The sequence below is a fragment of the Homo sapiens genome, chromosome 19 (assembly GCF_000001405.40).
Source record: "Homo sapiens chromosome 19, GRCh38.p14 Primary Assembly".
NCBI lineage: Eukaryota > Metazoa > Chordata > Mammalia > Primates > Hominidae > Homo > Homo sapiens.
The window spans coordinates 14,117,803-14,139,671 of record NC_000019.10 but is presented as its reverse complement, the minus strand read 5'-3'; the positions used below and the strand labels follow the sequence as shown (position 1 = coordinate 14,139,671).

The window sequence follows — 21,869 nt, the reverse complement described above, 5'->3', positions numbered from 1 at the left end:
ACAAATATCCCTAAGTATGCAATGATTGCCAAGAAATCAAGCGAATCATAAATGTGAGTTTCCTTGAAGCCAAATAATTTCAAAAGAATAAAAACAAAGCTTTCGATTTTTTAACAGCTAAAAAGAATTTTTCTTAACTTAATGTGAGATGTAGATACCAAAAATGGGCTAGGCGCTGTAATCCCAGCACTTAAGGACAAGATAGGTGGACTGCTTGAGGCCAGGAGTTTCAAGACCAGCCTGGGCAACAGCGAGACCCTGTCTCTACAAAAAATTTAAAAAGTATAAGAGGCAGGGCACGGTGGCTCATGCCTGTAATCTCAGCACTTTGGGCGGCCGAGGTGAGTGGATCACCTGAGGTCAGGAGTTTGAGACCAGCCTGGCCAACATAGTGAAACCCCATCTTTACTAAAAATACAAAAATTAGCTGGGTAAGGTAGCGTGTGCCTGTAGTCCCAGCTACTCGGGAGGCTGAGGTGGGAGAATCGCTTGAAGCTGGAAGCAGGAGGTTGCAGTGAGCTGAGATTGCGCCACTGCATTCCAGCCTGAGTGACAGAGCAAGACTCCCTCTCAAAAAAAAAATAAAATAAAATAAAACAAATTAGGCATGGTGGCACGCACTGGTGATCCCAGCCACTCGGGAGGCTGAGGTGGGAGGATCACTTGAGCCCAAGAGTTCCAGGTTATAGTGAGCCACGATTATGCCACTTGCACTCCAGCCTGGGCAACAGACCTCTATTAAAAAAAAAAAATCCCACAGGAACTGGATTGTTTAAAAAGAAAAGGAAAAGGAAAACATACTAGCACAGTGAGTGAGTCCTAGTGAGCCCACAGAGGTGACTGGGTAAGAAATACTAGTGCCTTGGCTCAGTGCTGTTCAGGCGTACGGCCTGTGAGTTTGAACACTGTCCAGAGCACCCTTAGAAAGGCCTCTCTGGGGAGAGGACATTTGAACAGAGACTTGAATGACAAGAAGGCATAAGCCATGCCAAGAGCCTAGGAGAAGAGGTTCTGGGCAGAGGCTTTGCACTGGGAGTGGCTTGTCAGAATTTTAACAAAAAGAGGGTTACTTAGCCTGGTTTGAAGTTGGAGCTGGGTGGTTAACAGGAGACAAAGCATAGAGTTTCAAAGACAATGCTCTCATCCGGAGAAGTGACCTGGTCAAATGTGTTTCTGACCTTCGCTGTCCAGTAATACAGGAGCCACTTGTCACACGGGCTCAGGAGCACTCAACTGCGGCTATCAAGACAGCTAAACTGAACTTTCTTTTTTAAAATTTAATTTTAATTTTTAGAGACAGGGTCTCACTCTGACACTCAGGCTGGAGTGCAGTGGCTGGAGCATTCTGGGCTCAAGAGATCCTCCTGCCTCAGCTTCAGGAGTAGCAGACACTACAGGTATGCACTACCACACCTGGCTTATTCTTTTATTTTTTGTAGATATGAGGTCTTGTTATGTTGCCCAGGCTGATCTTGAACTCCTGGCCTCAAGAAATCCTCCATGACCAGCCTCTAAAATTACAAATAATAATAAAAAAAGATATGGCCGGGCACAGTGGCTCACGCCTGTAATCCCAGCACTCTGGAAGGCCGAGGCGGGCGGATCACTTGAGGTCAGGAGTTCGAGACCAGCCTGGCCAACATGGTGAAACCCCGTCTCTACTGAAAATACAGAAAAAAAATTAGCTGGTTGTGGTGGTGGGCACCTGTAATCCCAGCTACTCAGGAGGCTGAGGCAGGAGAATCGCTTGAACCCGGGAGGTAGAGGTTGCAGTGAGCCGAGATCGCGCCATTGCACTCCAGCCTGAGTGACAGCGCGAGATTCCATCTCAAAAAAAAAAAAGTGGCTTCCAAAAAATGTTAATTTTACACCTAATTTTGGTGCGCGGCTGGCATTATTTTTCCACTGGGCAGCACTGATCGCCCGTGGGGGCAGAGACTCTGAGACCTGGAGTCTCCCAGGCCGGGGGCGACGGCCCAGACGGGAGGCGGTGGAGAGAAGTTTCCGGATGTATTATGTGGTCATGAATCATGTCAGGGAATTGCCACGGCCCCCGTTGAATGGGGAGGCGCTGCCTCGGGCGCTGAGTAGCAGAGCCCGGACTCTGAACACTGGTCTGCCCCCGAACTGGAACTCCCATTTTCAGTACCGTCCGCTTGAAACCTCCCAAGAGCCCTCAAGGGGGCGAGAGAGGGATCCAAACCCCTCGGGGGCGAGAGCGGGATCCGAACCCCTCGGGGGCGAGAGCGGGATCCGAACCCCTCGGGGGCGAGAGCGGGATCCGAACCCCTCGGGGGCGAAAGCGGGATCCGAACCCGGCCGGATTCCCGAGGTCTGAGCGCGCCTCGTGACCGCCACTCCGAACGTTCGCAACGTTCACAACGGACTCCCGCGCCGCTGGACCTCAAGGGTCAGGAGCCACTCAGAAAAGCTCCAGGAAACGCTCACCTGTTGACAGACGCTGAGGCCGCAAACGCTCCTCCTCTCTCTTCACACTCGCCAACACCGCGGTGGCGCTCGACTTCCGCTTCTCTCCAGCGAATCCCCAGCTGAGCCTCCTTCTGCTCCCGCCACCATTACCAATCCAGCCAATAAACTCTCAGAAAACCCTCTTTATCTCCGCCCCACTCCCTCCTGCCAATCACTTCGGGTGCGAGCACCGCCCTTCCCGCCTTCTTTAGCGAGCGCCGCGCGCCACCGCTCGGCGGGTGGCGGCGCTGCGCGCTGCGGGATGCATCTCCCGGAAAAGCGAGGCGAGGGGCGGGCCACGCCGGTGCGGGAACCCTCAGGATTGGCCAGAAGGAGGCCGGCGCTGTGACTCCGTCCATTCCCGCCGTTGACATCCAAGTCGGAGACGCTGGGGATTGGTTTCCAGCGGACACGCTAAGAAGCTTGGAGATAGTTTCGCCCTCCTCACACGCTGCGGAGAGGGAGCTCCGCTGATTGGTCCGAGGAGTCTGGGCGCGCGCCGATCGGCGCTCCAGGACTGGCTGAGGGGGTGCGCGCGCCGCCAGGGAGCGTTGGCGGTGATTGGCCAGAGGGCGGAGGCCGGCTATTTGAAGGCGGCGCGCGGACTAGGTGCGCACTTCAGTTCTCGGAGAGAAGAGGCGGGAGTGGACCTGGTCAGCCCTACCCCACTGACCCCACCGGACCCAGGCGCGGCCTCCGCCACAGCCACAGCCCCTGCCCCTGCTGCGGCGCGGCGAGGCGAGGCGATGGCCAAGGTGTCGGTGCTGAACGTGGCGGTCCTGGAGAACCCGAGCCCTTTCCACAGCCCCTTCCGGTTCGAGATCAGCTTCGAGTGCAGTGAAGCCCTGGCGGACGGTGAGGCTGGGCCTGTGCGGGGACCCCCACCCCCGGGCCGACCCCGGCCTCCCCTCAGAGAACCGCTCCCATGGCCAACTTGATCTCCCCCATGAAACCCCTCGTCCCCCTTCCGCCAACCCCGATCTCCCCCAGCCCGCCAGTCAACCGGATCTCCCGGTGGAGACCCCCCGCCACCAGCCAACACGGACCTCCCCGTGACCTCCTCCCCCACTGCCCGCCTTGACCTCCCGGGTGGAGACCCCCCGCCAGCTAACTCGGACCTCCCAGTGGCCTCTTCCCCCACTGCCCGCCCCGACCTCCCCATAGAGATTAACCCCCTCCAAGCCCCATTTCCCGCGTGGGGAACCTCATCCATCTTTTTTCTCTGGAGCTCTTCCTAGGTACCCGTTTTCATGGGGAGACCTTCTCGGCCTCCATTTCTTAACCCACGGAGATCTTCAGCCACCGTGGTTTCCCTGTGGCAAGACCCCCGCTTCAACCACCCACCCATTTTTGCCCACTTATTCCCTCTTTCCTGTAGTGAGATACTCACACCTCCCATTTTCCCTCTGGAGACCCCCAATATCCAGCCCCTTCCCATTTTCCCCGGGGGAAATCCCAGCCATCTCCTATTTTCCCTATGGAGACCTCTCACCCAAGCTCCTCTCTCCTTGCCGTGAAGACCCTCCCCTCCAGTAACCTTTTTTTCCTGTGAAAACCCCTCAACCCCTTTTCAGGACCTCTCTCAACCCCATCTTCCCATTTGTGTCCCACCAGTCCCCTCCCCAACCTGCCAATATTTCAATAACCCCACGCCCACCAGTTGCTGCCGCTTTTCTGCCCCAATGCACATACCCTGGAACCTGGTTTCTCTCCTTCGTTGGGGCCCAACCCCCCTATGCTTGAGCTCTCCCTGGGAAAGGATGCTACCGTCTTTGAGGGGAACTTTGTCTCCCCAGCTCCCCTTCCCCACCTTTCTCTGTGGGCTTGGATAAACACACTGAGATCCGAGGGGTGGCATAGCCAGGCAGGCATTAGCTAGTTCTCCAGGTTTGCCCACCCGTTTCCAGCTGAGTTACTGCAGCAATTTTTCTGTCACTTTTTCTTTCTTCTTCTTCCTCTTCTTTTTTTTTTTTTTTTTTTTGAGACAGTCTCACTCTGTTGCCCAGGCTGGAGTGCAATGGCACGATCTCGGCTCACTGCAACCTCCACCTCCCGAGTTCAAGCGATTCTTCTGCCTCAGCCTCCCGAGTAGCTGGGACTACAGGCGCCTGTCACCACGCCCAGCTAATTTTAGTATTTTTAGTGGAGGCAGCGTTTCACCATGTTAGCCAGGTTGGTCTCGAACTCCTGACCTCAAGTGATCCACCCGCCTTGGCCTCCCAAAGTGCTGGGATTACAGGCGTGAGCCACCGTGCCCCGTCTTCTTCTTTTTTTTTTTTAATATAGCTGGATAATCAGTGCCAAGCTCCCGTTGCTTTTGATGGTCTGACCTAGTCTGGGGGGTGGGTGGATTGGGCTGAGCTGTGACGGGCTCCAGCTTCAAACAGTCGGCTGGAGCTTGGAGGTCACAGCCTCCTGTACATCTTTTCCAAGGTGCTTCCGTAGATGTACTTATTAATCTGTGTGACTTAAAGGTGGGCATGGCTCTCATCTCACAGATGAGAAGACAGGAGCCACAAAACGCAAAAGACCTTTCAAGTCAAGGCCTGTACAAATCCAAAATCTAAGGTCACCTAGGGAGCCTTGGCACCACTAACAGGCAAGTCCTGCTTTCAGGAAGAAGTACTCCATTAGGCCATTTTTCTACTTGGTGGTTGAAAGAGAAAAGGCAGCAGCCGAGGAGGTGGTGATCTGGGGGCCTGTGAAGCCAGGATATGCTAACTAGTGCCTCTCGGGGGCAGGTAGGTGTTTTGCCCTCAAAGCTGGTCGCCTGGACTAGCTTGGAGCTGATAGAGTGAGATGTGGATGTGCTTTGGGTAGGCCAGTGGGTCTGTCTCTCCCCGGTCTCTCTCGCTCCTTTTTAAATTAAGGAGTCTACTTGTGGCTAACTATAGAATATGCCGAGTTAAATCCTTTCTGGAACAAGGCAGCGGGTAAATAAATAAATAAAGTGTAGAATGACGCTGTGGAATAAGATTTAATTTAAAAGCCAGGAGGAGATGGAAGGAAGTAATAGGTTGAGGGATTCCCAGCTCCCCGACGGCAGGAGATCAGGTTTCAATCAGCCTGTTTGTGTTCCTTGCATTTAAAAATGGTTGTGGCCGAGCGCGGTGGCTCACGCCTGTAATCCCAGCACTTTGGGAGGCCGAGGCGGGCGGATCACGAGGTCAGGAGATCGAGACCATCCTGGCTAACACGGTGAAACCCCGTCTCTACTAAAAAACACAAAAAATTAGCCGGGCGTGGTGGCGGGCGCCTGTAGTCCCAGCTACGCGGGAGGCTGAGGCAGGAGAATGGCGTGAACCCGGGAGGCGGAGCTTGCAGTGAGCCGAGATCGCGCCACTGCACTCCAGCCTGGGCGACAGAGCGAGACTCCGTCTCAAAAAAAAAAAAAAAAAAAAAAAATGGTTGTGCGGTCATTATCTGGTACTTCTACTCCTAGGAAGCCCCTGCCCTGTGACTTTACTAACTTATTTATAGAATTAGAGCCGGAAGGGCTAAATTCAACCTGCTGGTCCTTTTTTTGTTTTTTTGGAGATGAAGTCTTGCTCTTGTCCCCCAGGCTGGAGTGCAATGGCGCGATCTTGGCTCACTGCAACCTCCACCTCCCAGATTCAAGCGATTCTCCTGCCTCAGCCTCCCGAGCAGCTGGGATTACAGGTGCCTGCTATGACGCCTGGCTAATTTTTGTATTTTTAGTAGAGACGGGGTTTCACCATCTTGGCCAGGCTGGTCTTGAACTCCTGACCTCAGGTGATCCGCCCGCCTCAGCCTCCCAAAGTGCTGGGATTACAGGCGTGAGCCACTGCGTCCAGCCTCTGCTGATCATTTTTTAATAGAAATGGAGTGACTTCACCAGAGTCACACAGCCAGTTTGTAGAAGTATTGGCACTGAAGTTTTGAATCTAAATTCTTTATCTTTGCTCCAATCCAGGGAAAGAAAGGAAGGATTCCCTGTTTCAGGGGTGGAGCATAGATAGGAATGACCACAGAATTTATTGCCTAATCAGGACACTCAAAATGCAGTGAAGGGAAGTGCTATTATTATTATTTATTTATTTATTTATTTATTTATTTATTTTTGAGATGGAGTCTCGCTGTGTCACCCAGGCTGGAGTGCAGTGGCGTGATCATGGCTCATTGCAAGCTCCGCCTCCCGGGTTCACGCCATTCTCCTGCCTCAATCTCCCAAGTAGCTGGGACTACAGGCGCCCGAAACCATGCCCAGCTAACTTTTTGGATTTTTAGTAGAGACGGGGTTTCACTGTGTTACCCAGGATGGTCTCGATTTCCTGACCTTGTGATCCGCCCGCCTCGGCCTGGGATTACAGGCGTGAGCCACCGTGCCCGTCGTATGATTATGATGATGATGATGATTATTATTAGAAATGGAATCTCACTATGTCACCCAGGCTACAGTGCAGTGGTGCAATCTCAGCTCACTGCAATCTCCACCTCTCGAGTTCAAGCGATTCTCCGGCCTCAGTATCCCAAGTAGTTGGGATTACAAGCTTGAGCCACCATGCCCGGCTAATTTTTGTGTCTTTAGTAGAGACGAGGTTTCACCATGTTGGCCAGGCTGGTCTCAAACCTGATCGCAAGTGATATGCCCACTTCAGCCTCCCAAAGTGCTGGGATTACACTTTGAATCCTAAGCGCCTGGCCAGAGAATGCTATTGTTAATTGTACCTGGATGATAAAGCTTTTCCTTTGAGTAACTCAAGTGAGAAATCCTGGCTCTTCCAGTCCTAGGGCTCTCTGTGACTGATCTGCCAGCTTGCTTTCTGCCTCCTTCTGGACTCCTCTCCATGAAAAAGGGAGAATCTGCCTCACTCTCAGCAGCGTCAACTGAAAATCTGACAAAACCCCCAACCCAGCTGTGTGAGGTGGCTCATGCCTGTAATTCCAGCACTTTGGGAGGCTAAGGAAGGAGGATCTCTTGAGCCCAGGAATTTGGGCCAGCCTGGGTAACATAGCAAAACCTTGTCTCTACAGAAACATCAAAAAATTAACGGGACTTGGTGGCACGTGTCTGTGGTCCCAGCTACTCAGGAGGCTGAAGTGGGAGGATTGCATGAGCCCAGGAGGTCAGGGCTGCAGTGAGCCATGATTGCACCACTGCACTCCAACCTGGGTGAGAGAGCAAGACCCCCATCTCAAAAAAAAAAAAAAAAAAAACCACCCTAACCCCTAAGCCCCAGTTGGGTGACCCCTATTTCTCAGGGGCCCCAAGCCCCCTTTGCACTTTTATCTTCCACATCTGGAAATAGATTCTTCCACATTTAGCTGAGAAATTCAACAGACACTGGTTGAATAAGTCATAGAAGCCAGATGTTCTGACCCAGAAATAACGAAGTTGTTATGGCAGCAGAGCTCATCTTTGATTATGAACAAAGGCAAAAAGCAAACAAACAAAGGAGGCCTGGCATGGTGGCTCACGCCTGTAATCCCAGCACTTTGGGAGACCAAGGCGGGCAGATTACCTGAGGTCAGAAGTTCGAGACCAGCCTGGCCAACATGGTGAAACCCCGTCTCTACTAAAAATACAAAAAATTAGCCGGGTGTGGTGGCGGGCGCCTGTAGTCCCAGCTACTCGGGAGGCTGAGGCAGGAGAATGGCGTGAACCCAGGAGGCAGAGCTTGCAGCGAGCCGAGATTGCACCACTGCACCCCAACCTGGGCAACAAAGCAAGACTCCATCTCAAAAAAAAAAAAAAAGAAAAAGCCAGGTGTGGTGGCTCACACCTGTAATCCCAGCACTTTGGGAGGCCGAGGCGGATGGATCACAAGGTCAGGAGTTCGAGACCAGCCTAACCGACGTGGTGAAACCCCGGCTCTACTAAATACAAAAATTAGCCAGGCATGGTGGCACGCAGCTATAATCCCAGCTACTCAGGAGGCTGAGGCAGAAGAATCGCTAGAACCCGGGAGGCAGAGGTTGCAGTGAGCTGAGATTGTGCCACTGCACTCCAACCTGGGTGACAGAGCGAGACTCTGTTTCAAAAAAAAAAAAAGAAAAAAAAAATGGCCAGGCACAGTGGCTTACCCCTGTAATCCCAGCATTTTGGGAGACCAAGGCAGGTGGATCATCTGAGGTCAGGAGTTTGAGACCAGCCTGGCCAATGTGGTGAAACCCTGTCTCTACTAAAAATACAAAAGTTAGCCAGGCTTGGTGGCAGGTGCCTGTAGTCCCAGCTATTTGGGAGGCTGAGGCAGGAGAAGCGCTTGAACCCGGGAGATGGAAATTGCAGTGAGCCCAGATTGCGCCATTGCACTCCAGCCTGGGCGACAGAGCAAGACTGTCTCAAAAAAACAACAACAAAAAAGCAGGAAGCAGACTTTTTAGCTAGTTCAGCTATACTAATTGTGTACATGTCTTTAGTCTTATCATTTATATATATATATATATATATATACACACAAACACACAGTGGAGGTATGTCTTGCACAGGGACTAGCTTGTGAAGTTAGCGCAGAGAGATAACATGGGACACAGTTGAGTTGCCTTGACATTGCTCAGAAGGTTAGGTACACACGTCATGTGTACAGCTGTGTCCTGTACTCATAGCTATGAGTTCCTGCTGTATTGGTGATTTGTGTCCCATGTATAATTCTAAAGAAAGATTATATTTAGAGATGAAATCATACACGTATGTCTCTACTTATAACACTGCAGCCAGATTTTTTTTTTTTTTTTTAAAGAGATAGGGTGTCACTATGTTGCCCAGACTGGACTTGAACTCCTGGGCTTAAGCAGTCCTCCCACCTCAGCTTCCTAAGTAGCTGGAACCACAGGTGCACATCACCATGCCTGGGCACTTCAGCAAATTTAAGATGATTCTCGACTGGGCATAGTGGCTCATGCCTGTAATCCCAGCACTTTGGGAGGCCAAGGCAGGCGGATCACAAGGTCAGGAGATCGAGACCATCTTGGCTAACACAGTGAAACCCCGTCTCTACTAAAAATAGAAAAAAAAATTAGCCGGGCGTGGTGGGGGGTGCCTGTAGTCCCAGCTGATTAGGAGGCTGAGGCACAAGAATGGCATGAACCCGGGAGGCGGAGCTTGCAGTGAGCCGAGATCGTGCCACTGCACTCTAGTCTGGGCAACAGAGTGAGACTCCATGTCAAAATAAAATAAAATAAATTAGAATTACAGGTGCACACCACCACGCCCAGCTAATTTTTTATATTTTTAGTAGAGATGGAGTCTCACTCTGTCACCCAGGCTGGAGTGCAGAGGCACGATCTCAGTTCACTGCAACCTCAGCCTCCCGAGTAGCTGAGACTACAGGGGCATGCCACCACGCCTGGCTAATTTTTTGTATTTTTTGTATCACCATGTTGCCCAGGCTGATCTCGAACTTCTGAGCTCAAGCAATCCACCCGCCTCAGCCTCCCAAAGTGCTAGGATTACAGCCATGATCCAATGATCCACCTCACCTGGCCCTATACCTATAACTCTTTTTTTCTTCCTTTCTTTCCTTCTTTCTTCTTTTTTTTTTTTTTTTTTTTTTTTTTTTTTTTGACGGAGGCTGGCTCTGTTGCCCAGGCTGGAGTGCAGTGGCAAAATCTCGGCTCACTGCAATCTCTGCTGCCTCCCAGGTTCAAGCAGTTCTTATGCCTCAGACTCCTGAGTAGCTGGAATTACAGGTGCACACCATCATGCCCAGCTAAATTTTTATATTTTTAGTAGAGATGGGGTTTCACCATGTTGCCCAGGTTGGTCTCGAACTCGTGAGCTCAGGCAATCTGCCTGCCTCGGCCTCCCAAAGTGCTAGGATTACAGGTGTGAGCTGCCGTGCCCAACCAGCTTCTGTAACTCTTGAGTCAGTATTTCTCTACAGCCGTTAGTTAATTCTCCAGTTTCTTTCCAGCCCTGGTTGAAAGAGCCATTTCAGCCCCTGTGCCTGACAGTCAACACAGTACATTTTTTCTTTTTCTTTTTTTTCCTTTGAGATAGGGTCTCTGTCGTCCAGGCTGGAATGCAGTGGCTCGATCATGGCTCACTGCAGCCCTGAACTCCTAGGCTCAAGCGATCCTCCAACCTTAGCCTCCCGCATAGCTGGGACCACCGGCACGCGCCACCACACCCAATTAATTTTGTTGATTTTTAATAGAGTCGAGTCTGCCTATGTTGCAGGGGCCCATTTATTTCGGTGAGTTTCCACATGCTCTTTGTTTAGGTTTTGCCGATTAGTATTGACCTCAGCTGGACAACATCAGGTGCTCGTGGGTACACTTTAGTCTTTTTTGTCTACCTTCCCAGGACATGAATTAAATGCACCCGTACAGGATTCTACCGGCTATGAGAGGAAAGGGCTCAAGGATATACACCAAAATGATACAACTGCTTTAGAAAGGAGAGAGCAGGGCTGGCTGGCTTTTCTGTCTTCCCCCAAAACTTGATTCCAGTTGTGTCACTACTTGTAACAAAAATAAATCAACAGGCTGGACATGATGGCTCAGACAAATTCCAGCACTTTGGGAGGCCAAGGCGGGAGGATTGCTTGAGACCAGGCTGGGCAACCAAGCAAGACCTCATCTCTAAAAACAATTTAAAAATTCCCTGGGCGTGTGGCACAAGCCTGTGGTCCCAGCTACTTGGGAGGCTAAGGCAAGAGAATCACTTGAGCGCAGGAATTTGTGGCTGTAGTGAGCTATGATTATGCCACTGCACTGCAGCCTGGGTGACGGACCGAGACCCCATCTCCAGTGAAAAAAGTCAACTTCCTCCCTGCAAATAGTAAGAGGCTAGTTCGACCAAACACCTGTGAGTTCAATGGTCACCCGTATCCTACAGACCTGCTATAGGGTTCCTGAGTGAAACCACAAAGGGACAGGCAGCCAGTGCATCAAAGAAGGGCATGGGGCTCAGGTGACAAGCCTCTGTAGTCATGACCTGGCAGCAGCATGCTTCCAAAGTTGGATGCTCTTGTGGGACACTGGACCAAGGAACAGGGCAGCTTCTGAGAGAGTTTGCTTCCTGTGAAAATCACAGCTTGTGAAACTTCCCCCAGCTGCTAGAGCTGAAGGGTTGTGTAATTTCTAAAGAGCCAAAAATAAGTTTCAAGCCTCTTGCCAAGCCTCCCTGTACCAGCATGACCTTGCCCCTGATACACTTGGACCTCCTGCAAGAGGCCATGTTGACCGGAATTTCCTGTGATTGACAGCCAGAGGTTCCATAAGCACTTTCCTTTCATCTCAATGGAGCATATTCAGGGGAGGGGGCCCTCCTGCTGGATGGGGTGCAAGAGTTAGGGTTTGAGGCTGGGCACGGTGGCTCACACCTGTAATCCCAGCACTTTGGGAGGCGGAGGCGGATGGATGACCTGAGGTCAGGAGTTCGAGACCAACCTGGCCAACATGGTGAAACCCCATCTCTACTAAAAATACAAAACATTAGCCGGCTGTGGTGGCGGGCGCCTATAATCCCAGCTACTCAGGAGGCTGAGGCAGGAGAATCACTTGAACCCGGGAGGCAGAGGTTGCAGTGAGCCGAGATCTCACCATTGCACTCTAGCCTGGACAACAAGAGTGAAACTGTCAAAAAAAAAAAGTGTTTGGAGGATCACCCCGGGATGCCACATTTGTTGACTGAGTTGCCCAAATGTCTCTAAGTAGGCATGACTTGGTGCCAGATCTGGAAGACCAGGGTGGCTGGCTCCCTGAGCAACCTCACCTTCCCCCTCCTGCAGGCTGGCTCTCCTGCCGGATTGGAATCTGCCACCCTGCCCCAGTTGTCGAGGGATCCACTTCGTTGAGTGGCACCGGTCCCTGTGTGTGAAAGAGGATGCTGCTTCCTATCCCAGCACCCAGTGGGCAGGGCCCTGAAATGACCCAACTCCCTGCCGTTCCCTTCTCAGCACGTCTGTGTCACGTGGCTCTTAATTCAGCCTCTGCCATACAGTTCACGCTCAGGCCTTGAGAGGCCCAGGTTTCCCCAGAGGTATAGTCAAGGTCACCTGTCATAGCTAGGCTTACAAGACAGAATTCCCTAATGGAGGTAGAGCTTTGTGCCCACCTCAGCATTCAAGACTGCAGTGCCTGGCACTAAGTGTCTGACAGATGGAATAATAGTCTTTTAACATATTAAGGATCTGTCTAAAATTACCACAAGGCTGGGCACAGCAGCCCACACCTGTGATCCCAACATGGTGGGAGTCCGAGGCAGGAGGATCGCTTGAGCCCAGGAGGTTGAGGCTACAGTGAGCCATGAACATCCCGCTGCACACCAGCCTAGGCAACAGAGGGAGACTGTCTCAAAAAATAAGTAAATAAAAATAAAATAGAAGATGTGGCCGGGCGCAGTGGCTCACACCTGTAATCCCACCAGTTTGGAAGGCTGAGGCGGGCAGATCACTTGAAGTCAGGAGTTGGATACCAGCTTGGCCAACATGGTGAAACCCCATCTCTACTAAAAATACAAAAACAGGCCAGGTACAGTGGCTCACACCTGTCATCCCAGCACTTTGGGAGGCCAAGGCGGGTGGATCACCTGAGGTCAGGAGTTCTAAACCAGCCTGATCAACATGGTGAAACCCTGTCTCTACTAAAAATAAAAAAATTAGCCAGCCATGATGGCAGGTGCCTGTAATTCCAGCTACTCAGTAGGCTGAGACAGGAGAATCGCTTGAACCTGGGAGGCAGAGATTGCAGTGAGCCAAGATCACACCATTGTACTCCAACCTGGGTGACAAGAGTGAAACTCCATCTCAAAAAAGAAAAAAAAAATTAGCTAGGCGTGGCAGCGGGCACCTATAATCCCAGCCACTCGGGAGGCTGAGGTATGAGAATCACTGGAACCTGGGAGGCGGAAGTTGCAGTGAGCTGAGATCGCATCACTGTATTCTAACCTGTGTGACAGAACGAGACTCCATCTCAAAAAAAAAAAAAAATACAAGAGCCTATCCCTGCCTTCTTGCTGTTGAGCTATTTCAATTAGTTAACCCTCCTATATCTTTGCAGACCTGGAGTGGAAGATCATTTATGTTGGCTCGGCTGAGAGTGAGGAATTTGATCAGATCCTAGACTCGGTGCTGGTGGGCCCTGTGCCAGCAGGGAGACACATGTTTGTCTTTCAGGTAAGAAAGATGAGGCCTTAGGCCTTAGCCCTTGATTCCTAGAAACATCCTCTTTTACCTGAAATCCCACAGAGTGCTTCAGGAATCAAAAGTTCAAGTTCAGCTGGGCACGGGCTCACGCCTATAGACCCAGCTACTCCAGGGACTGAGGTGAGAGGATTGCTTGAGCCCGGGAGTCTGAGGCTGCAGTGAGCCACTGCACTCCAGCCTAGGCAACACAGTGAGACCCTGTCTCTAAAAAAGAAAAAAACAAGTATTAAAAACATAGAGGCCGGGCACAGTTGCTCACACCTGTAATCCCAGCACTTTGGGAGGCCGAGGTGGGAGGATTGCTTGAGGCCAGGAGTTTGAGACCAGCTGGGGCAATATAGTGAGACCGCATCTCTACAAAAAATGTAAAAATCAGCAGAGCATGGTGGTGTGCGCCTGTAGTCTCAGATACTTGGGAGGCTGAAATGGGAGGATCACTTGAGCCTGGGAGATGGAAGCTACAATGAGCCAAGACCACACCACTGCACTCCAGCCTGGGCAACAGTAAGACCCAGTCTCAATCAATCAATTAAAACAATTTAAAAGTTCAGGTTCAAATCCTAGTTCTACTGTCAGGAACTATCTGACCTCTCAGAGGCCGTCAGGCCCTCCCTTCCCCCACCTCTGTGTCAAAGCTGCCACTGATTTACAGGCAATTCCCATTATTTACAAGAGTTACGTTCTATAAAGTTGCCGCGAACACTGAATTAGTGAATACTGAACCATTGCCCCAGGGGAAATACAGGGTTAGATTCTTGGAAGTCACATTTTCGTCAGCTGGTTAATACGTAAACTTGTATGTGTGTTTATGTTGAAAAGACACCAGGACGGCTATGATGGCTCAAACCTGTAATCCCAGCACTTTGGGAGGCTGAGGTGGGTGGATCGCCTGAGGTCAGGAGTTCAAGACCAGCCTGGCCAATGTGATGAAACCCCGTCTCTACTAAAAATACAAAAATCAGCCAGGTGTGGTGGCGCATGCCTGTAATCCCAGCTACTCGGGAGGCTGCGGCGGGAGAATCGCTTGAACCTGGGAGATGGAGATTGCAGTGAGCTGAGATCGCACCAGTGCACTCTAGCCTGGGTGATACAGCGATACTCTGTCTCAGAAAAAAAGGAAAGATACCTTATTTAATATATACAGTGGTTCATTTATGTTGAATTCACAGCCAACAGCACTATAACTCTCCTGAATGAAACTTCTCTAATACGCATATTTTCCATAAAGCCTTTCTTGTATCCTACACTGCACTTCAGCACTACCGTTGGGTGCCATCATAGACAGCAAACTCACCAACAAAAAGCACAAAACATGGAAAAAAGCACTAAGTAGGCTGAGGAAAGGACGCTCATTCACAGTGAGAGCTGAGACCAGAAGACAGAGTGTTGCCTTGTTTGACCTCAGGTGGGAACAGGCGTGGTAGGTAACTCTAGGTGGGAACAGGCATGGTAGGTAACTCCAGTTTTTCCCTGCTCTGTGCATGTCTGCAAGTGACTGTGAAAGCAAGCAGGTGTTCATCTTGGGGTTACAAATAAACTTAGCAGGTAGGTGAACTTGCACATATGGAACCCATGAATAATGAGGATGGACTGTAACTCCTAAATGGCTCTCATGCAGCACCCCACCTGGGTTGTCAAATGTAGATTCTGGCCGGGTGTGGTGGCTTCCAGCACTTTGGGAGGCAGAGGCGGGAGGACTGCTTAAGGCCAGGAGTTCCAGACTAGCCTGGGCCACATAGCGAGACCCCCATCTCTACAAAAAATAGAAAAATTAGCCGGGTGTGGTGGCTTGCACCTGTCGTCCCAGCTACTTGGGAGGCTGAAGCAGGAGGCTTGCTTGAGCCTGAGAGTTTGAGGCTACAGCGAGCTATGATTGCACCTCTGCACTGCATTCTGGGTGACAGCGAGACCTGTCTCTACAAAAAAAACATTAACCAGGCATAGTGATGCAGGCCTGTAGTGCCAGCTACTAGGGAGGCTGAAGCAGAAGACTCACTTGAGGCCAGGTGCCATGGCTCACACCTGTAATCTCAACACTTTGGGAGGCTGGGGCAGGCAGATCACTTGGGGTCAGGAGTTAAAGACTAGCCTGGCCAACATGGTGAAACCCTGTCTCTACTAAAAAATACAAAAATTAGCTGGATGTGGTGGTGCACATTTGTTATCCTAGCTACTCGGGAGGCTGAGGCACGAGAATTATTTGAATCCAGGGGGCGGAAGTTACAGTGAGCTGAGATTGCGCCACTGCACTCGAGCCTGGGCAACAGAGTGAGACCCTGTCTCTAAAAAAAAAAAAAAAAAAAAATAGGCTCGCTTGAGCCCAGGAGTTCCAGGAGTTTACAGTGATCTGTGATTGCACCACTGCACTCCAGTCTGGATGACAGAGGGAAAAGCTATCTCTTTAAAAAAAGAAGGCCGGTGCAGTGGCTCACGCCTGTAATCCCAGCACTTTGGAAGGCCAAGGTGGGCGGATCACAAGGTCAGGAGATTGAGACCATCTTGGCTAACATGGTGAAGCCCCATCTCTACTAAAAAATACAAGAAATTAGCCAGGCCTGGTGGCGGGCACCTGTAGTCTCAGCTACTCAGGAGGCTGAGGCAGGAGAATGGCGTGAACCTGGGAGGCGGAGCTTGCAGTGAGCCGAGATCACGCCACTGCACTCCAGCCTGGGTGACAGTGAGACTCCATCTCAAAAAAAAAAAAAAAAAAAAAGAAGAAAGAAAAAACAAATGGAGATTCTGAGTTCTCCAGGTGATTTTTCAGGATCCTCTGCTCGGATACACTCCCTTACCTCCATCACTGCTGTTACCGCCCTAATCCAAGCTACCACATCCTATCTAACCCCTTCAGCCACCACTACTAAATCCACTGACAGGCCCTATCTACTCAACAGTCAGGACTGGCCTCCTGGGTGTGCAACCCAGGCAGCTGCACAGGACCCCACACTTGGTGCGATACTCTGCTGTCACCGTCTGAAACCTAATAGCTTTTCTGGAGGGGCGTGGTGTTTTCATTTTGCATTGGTTTTATTTTGCACCAATTACGTGGCTGGTCTTGTTTGCAGTAGTACACCCTGAATCTGTTCTTTACTGCCTGGTCTAAGCCAAGTCCACTGCCTCTCCAGGATGACTGGTGTAAGCCTTCTGCTCCACTACAGTCTCCTGTCACGGCTCCACACTTTGCCAGAGGCTTCTTTTCAGATCACAAGAGTGATGTGGCACTTAACCTCCTGCTTACTCTCTTGCCCTTTCCCAATCCCTTAGCTGGCCCCCGGGTGGCCTGATACCACCTGCCTCACCTGTTCAGCTTCATGCCACTGTCCCCCGGCTCACCACACTCCTCCAGAGTACCACGCACCTCTCCCTGCCACAGTCAACGTTTTGTAGTCATTTGTGGGATTGATTCTGTGTTTCCATCAGTTGACAACTCCTGGCTGGGCACAGTGACTCACACCTGTAATCCCAGCCCTTTGGGAGGCTGAGGTGAGAGGATCGCTTGAGCCCAGGAGTTTGAGACCAGCCTGGGCAACATGGAGAAACCCTGTCTCTACAAAAAATAATTGGCTAGACATGTTGGCACACACCGTTGTCCCAGCTATTTGGGAGGCTGAAGCAGGAGGATTGCTTGAGCCCAGGAGTTCAAGGATGCAGTGAGCCATGATGGCGCCATTGCACTCCAGCCTGGGTAACAGAGGGAGGCCAGACCCTGTGTAAAAAAAAAAAAAGTCCAGGCGCAATGGCTCACACCTGTAATCCCAACACTTTGGGAGGCCGAGGTGGGCAGATCACCTGAAGTCAGGAGTTTAAGACCAGCCTGGCCAACATGGTGAAATCCCGTCTGTACTAAAAATACAAAAAAAAGGCTGGGCGCAGTGGCTCACACCTGTAATCCCAACACTTTAGGAGTCCAAGACGGGTGGATCACCTGAGGTCAGGAGTTCGAGACCAGCCTGGCCAACATGGCGAAACCCCATCTCTACTAAAAATACAAAAATTAGCCGGGCATGGTGGTGGGCACCTGTAATCCCAGCTACTCGGGAGGCTGAGGCAGGAGAATCGCTTGAACCCGTGAGGCGGAGGTTGCAGTGAGCCGAGATCGCACCATTGCACTTCAGCCTGGGCAACAGAGCAAAACTCCATTAAAAAAAAATACCAAAAAAAAAAAAAAGTTAGCCGGGTGTGGTGGTGTGTGCCTGTAGTCCCAGCTGCCTGGGATGCTGAGGCAGAATTGTTTGAACCCGAGAGGCAGAAGTAAAAAAAAGAAAACTGAGGGCAGAGAGCATACTTTTTGCTCAGTAAATACATGATGCTTGGGAATCTTTGTACTAATGACATCGAGGCATGGCTGTGGCACTGCTAAGGCCTAGGATGTGTCTCCCCTAGGCCGACGCCCCCAACCCATCCCTCATCCCAGAGACTGATGCCGTGGGTGTGACTGTGGTCCTCATCACCTGCACCTACCATGGACAGGAGTTCATCCGAGTGGGCTACTACGTCAACAACGAGTACCTCAACCCTGAGCTGCGTGAGAACCCGCCCATGAAGCCAGATTTCTCCCAGGTGGGGCCTGTTTCCACTTCCTGCTTCCCACAAGGCCGTTCTTTATACTTGGGGGGAGTTCAGCCATTCAAATTGAGAGTCAAGGTCACTTCTTAAGGTTTTCAAGTAATATTCAGTTCTTACAGTACTGTGTTAGAAGAGGAGAAAAAGACCTTTGTCTCTCAAAGGCATGTCTTAGAGAATTAAGATTAGGCCAGCCTGGGCAACATAGTGAGACCCTGTCCCTAACCCCCGCAAAAAAAAAAAAAAAAAAAAATGAGCCAGACATGGGTGGTGTGCTCTACTCTGGAGGCTGAGGTGGGAGGATCGCTTGAGCCCAGGAGTTTGAGGCTGCAGTGAGCTCAGATCGTGCCACTGCATTCCAGCCTGACCAACAGAGTGAGACTGTCCCTTAAAAAAAAAAAGTCCTGGGCCAGGCACAGTGGCTCACGCGTTGTAATCCCAGCACTTTGGGAGGCCGAGGCTGTAGGATCACCTGAGGTCAGGAGTTTGAGACCAGCCTGGCCAACATGGTGAAAGCCCGTCTCTACTAAAAATACGAAAATGAGCCAGGTATGGTGCCTTGCACCTGTAGTCCCAGCTACACAGGAGGCTGAGGCAAGAGAATCGCTTGAACCCGGAAGGCAGAGGTTGCAGTGAGACGAGATCACAGCATTGCACTCCAGCCTGGGCAACAAAAGCAAAACTCCGTCTCAAAAAATAAATAAATAAATAAATAAATAAGGTCCTGGCCACAGGTGTTTTCTGGAGTTCCATATGTAGGTTGCTCTTGCTGGGCTTGAGATGGGTGATTGGGGGTGTCCTGGCTCTATGGGACCAAGGAGAGGGCGTACCTACAAGGGTTGACGTTCCTCTTCCTGCCCCAGCTCCAGCGGAACATCTTGGCCTCGAACCCCCGGGTGACCCGCTTCCATATCAACTGGGACAACAACATGGACAGGCTGGAGGCCATAGAGACCCAGGACCCCTCCCTGGGCTGCGGCCTCCCACTCAACTGCACTCCTATCAAGGGCTTGGGGCTCCCTGGCTGCATCCCTGGCCTCCTCCCTGAGAACTCCATGGACTGCATCTAACTGCAGGAACCCAGAGTGTCCCAGCACGCCGGGAGGGGCAACCAGGCCTCCCAGCGAGTCCTGCAGGGCCCATCTAGAGGACTTTGGGGGCCATCAGCTGCAATCCAGGTCTGTCAAACTCAGCCCCTAGGAAAGAACAGGCCTTGGGTCTCCCCTAGTCCTGGCCAGAAGGATGATCTCGCTTTTCCTCTACAGGCCTATAAGAAGCAGGTACTTCAGTTCTAAATTCTGACTTGTGTTCTTTTCGTCTTCATAAATTCTAACTAAGGCCACTGTGCCACTGTGCACCCTTGAGTACCATTGATCCAAAGCTTTCCCACAGACCTCCCTGGCCCACCTAGAGGCTTTCTTGGTCAGTGCCTGTCAAGGCTCCAGTCCTGCTGAGCCAAAGGCTTTGTCATTCCTTTCTCTTCCTGTACATCTGAGCAGACCCACTCCAGCTTTCTGGTGTCACAGGCGGGAATGTTAGTTAGTAGGTAGACTTAGATCCCATTTCTGTCCTGCTCCCAGGAAGATTCTTAGGTCCTCTTCAATCCAGCAGCCCCTCCCAGAGGTGTGATCAGCAGGATGCTGAGGAACCATGTTGCCTTTCCTGTCAATCACAGCCACCTTCCTGTTATCTCCTAAATGGATCTGGCTTTTCCTGGAGGCTGCCATGGTTGGAAGATGGTATCAGAGGGCCTGCCTGGGCAGTCTGTCTCCGGGCCAGGGTCAGGGACCCTCTGCCTCTGGCAGCCTTAACCTGTCCTCTGCTAGGACCAGGGTGATTTCAAGCCAGGGAAGCAACTGGGACCCTGAAAACTGTCCCTCCCCAGCCCGCTCCCCCTCTCTGTGCCCTGGTCCCCTTGCTGCCATGTGGATGCTGTTGTGATTGCTGTTTGTATATTATCAAAATGTTTTTATATTAAAAATGTTTGGTCTGAAAATTAAAAGCACTTCATTTAGAATGATTGTTTGTGCTTTTGTCTCTGGTGGACTGAAGCAACTTTGTCCACTCTCCCCCAGAAGTGGCCTCTTGCCCTGTCCAGTGGGTTGGCTGTCCCACGTCTTCTTTCCAGCTTCCTACTCCAGTCTTAATTGGTTCTACAGTTGTATTCCAGACTGAGGTTCCAGGAGGGGTTTTTCTTTGTCAAAACTTAAACCAGCTGTCCTGCAGATAGATTATAATGAGTGATTTTTCAGACTTTGCCCTTGACCCACAGGAAATTAACATCGTGATCCCAACACACAAACAGCAATGCTTTTATTAAATTTTACTAAACCTTACCATGTATCTATCCATCCAGAGGCGGAGTGGTCAGCCATTTCCCCATAGTTCACAGAAAGGCTCTGACTCTCCCTCCCTGGAACTGTGGTTGATCTGGGAACATGGGGGCAGACAGCAGCTGGAGAAGGTGGAGGCTATTCAAGTCGAAGCAGCAGATCGGCTTGTAGTTAAGCCCAGCTAGCCCTTCCGAGTCGGGGTGACCTGGCTTCTCCCCTCCCCTGACCCTCTCTTAAGTGCTTCTCAATCAGGAGCAGTTCGGCCCCGCAAGAGCACATTCACCAATGTCAGGAGACAGCGGTTGCCACAGCCAGCAGGAAGATAGAGGAGGGGCTACTGGCATCCAGTGGGTAGAGGCGGGGGATGTTGCTCAACACCCAGTGGTGCACAAGACACCCCCCAGCAGAAAATGATCCAGCCTCACCGTCAGTAGTGTCGCAGTTGGGAAACCCCGACTGTCCTCTGCTAAGTGTGTACTGAAAGAGGATCCTGAAGGAAGGGGCAGGTTCCCTTCGCATTGCCCAGACAGGAAATACAGACGGGGAACAGGAGCAGGGAATCTGCCTGGCTGTACCCCAGATTCCTCATCTGTGCAATGGGAGTGATGATGGTAGCACCTACGCGATGGGAGTGTGGTGCGAAGGAGCGTTAAGTGGGTGCCAGCTCTTACTACTGGCAGGAGCCCAGGGCTAGGGCCCAGCAAAGGGGTGGACACTGAGCGCCCCTTCCCAGCCACCCCTTGCGCCGGGCCCGGCATCCTCCTGAGTGCGGCTGGGAAAACCCAGGAGGCCCCGCGGCCTGGCCCCCAAGCAGGCCTGGCCTCGGCCGCCCAGCGCCAGGCCTTATGAATGACGCCGGCGGCGGCCGGGCGACCTCTGACCCGCGCGCCGGCCGCGCCCCTCCCCCGCTGGCAGGTGGACAGCGGCTGCGCCGGGCAGGCCGCGGCGCCAACTCCGGCTGGCCGACAGCCGCTGCCGCACTGAGCGGGGGCGGGGGACTGCGGCGCGCGCGGGGCCGGCCGGGCGCCCGCCGGGGCCGCCTCCTGAGCCTCGGAGCGCTGCGCGGCCGCCAGCCAGCCTCCGCCGCCCCGCCCCGCCGGCCCGGGCCCGCAGACTGCGTCTCCGCCCCGCCCTCTCACCCCCGGATTGACACTGAGCGTTCTGCTGGGGGGCTTGGCGGACCCGGCACCTCCGCCAATCGGCGGCCTCGCAGGGCGGACCCCGGGCCCAGTCCAGCGTCTCGGCCAATCGGACGCGTCTGCCCGCCCAGCTGCGGCCTCGCGAGCGAGTGAATGGCCGAGAGTCCGCGGTGCGTGTCCCGAGGCTGAGAGCCTATAGTGGCGCGGGAAGGTCGCGGGAGGGCCAATGGGAGGCGGCGCTGAGCCGTCAGTCA

The 21,869-nt window shown here is 52.1% G+C and overlaps 1 protein-coding gene and 2 long non-coding RNA genes across 3 annotated transcripts in view, besides 6 other annotated features; 1 reads left to right on the top strand and 2 right to left on the bottom strand.

Moving 5' to 3' along the window:
• The window catches only part of ADGRL1-AS1 (ADGRL1 antisense RNA 1), a 34,113-nt gene extending 31,593 nt beyond the window's left edge, over positions 1–2,520 (bottom strand). Inside the window, exon 1 of the long non-coding RNA NR_045214.1 lies at positions 2,449–2,520. This is a non-coding gene — a long non-coding RNA (ADGRL1 antisense RNA 1). The remainder of the gene's footprint in view (positions 1–2,448) is intronic.
• Positions 2,094–2,720: an enhancer, noted in NCBI's record as "NANOG-H3K27ac-H3K4me1 hESC enhancer chr19:14247764-14248390 (GRCh37/hg19 assembly coordinates)". NCBI's record gives its function as "activates a minimal SCP1, AML or CMV promoter by ChIP-STARR-seq in naive H9 embryonic stem cells {active_cell/tissue: H9 hESC(naive)}" and the evidence as "EXISTENCE:reporter gene assay evidence [ECO:0000049][PMID:30033119]".
• Positions 2,438–2,597: an enhancer, noted in NCBI's record as "active region_14157". NCBI's record gives its function as "activates an Ori minimal core promoter by ATAC-STARR-seq in GM12878 lymphoblastoid cells {active_cell/tissue: GM12878}" and the evidence as "EXISTENCE:reporter gene assay evidence [ECO:0000049][PMID:35858748]".
• Positions 2,798–2,937: an enhancer, noted in NCBI's record as "active region_14156". NCBI's record gives its function as "activates an Ori minimal core promoter by ATAC-STARR-seq in GM12878 lymphoblastoid cells {active_cell/tissue: GM12878}" and the evidence as "EXISTENCE:reporter gene assay evidence [ECO:0000049][PMID:35858748]".
• On the top strand, positions 3,083–20,160 carry ASF1B (anti-silencing function 1B histone chaperone). The gene is made up of 4 exons (NM_018154.3): positions 3,083–3,324; positions 13,435–13,550; positions 17,964–18,140; positions 19,007–20,160. Exons 1-4 carry the CDS (start codon positions 3,216–3,218, stop codon positions 19,211–19,213), a joined length of 609 nt encoding a protein of 202 aa, NP_060624.1. The 5' UTR covers positions 3,083–3,215; the 3' UTR covers positions 19,214–20,160.
• Positions 3,268–3,317: a silencer, noted in NCBI's record as "silent region_10235". NCBI's record gives its function as "represses an Ori minimal core promoter by ATAC-STARR-seq in GM12878 lymphoblastoid cells {active_cell/tissue: GM12878}" and the evidence as "EXISTENCE:reporter gene assay evidence [ECO:0000049][PMID:35858748]".
• Positions 10,998–11,107: an enhancer, noted in NCBI's record as "active region_14155". NCBI's record gives its function as "activates an Ori minimal core promoter by ATAC-STARR-seq in GM12878 lymphoblastoid cells {active_cell/tissue: GM12878}" and the evidence as "EXISTENCE:reporter gene assay evidence [ECO:0000049][PMID:35858748]".
• Positions 20,108–21,458, bottom strand: LOC124904642 (uncharacterized). The gene is made up of 2 exons (XR_007067144.1): positions 20,481–21,458; positions 20,108–20,363 (listed from the first exon to the last, which is right to left on the bottom strand). It is a non-coding gene; the product is annotated as an uncharacterized LOC124904642 (long non-coding RNA).
• Positions 21,290–21,849: a silencer, noted in NCBI's record as "silent region_10234". NCBI's record gives its function as "represses an Ori minimal core promoter by ATAC-STARR-seq in GM12878 lymphoblastoid cells {active_cell/tissue: GM12878}" and the evidence as "EXISTENCE:reporter gene assay evidence [ECO:0000049][PMID:35858748]".

Coding starts and splice junctions, on each gene's coding strand:
- ASF1B (NM_018154.3), top strand. CDS start 3,216: ATGGCCAAGGTGTCGGTGCTGAACGTGGCGGTCCTGGAGAACCCGAGC. Junction 3,325..13,434: donor CAGTGAAGCCCTGGCGGACG/GTGAGGCTGGGC, acceptor ATATCTTTGCAG/ACCTGGAGTGGAAGATCATT. Junction 18,141..19,006: donor TGAAGCCAGATTTCTCCCAG/GTGGGGCCTGTT, acceptor TTCCTGCCCCAG/CTCCAGCGGAACATCTTGGC.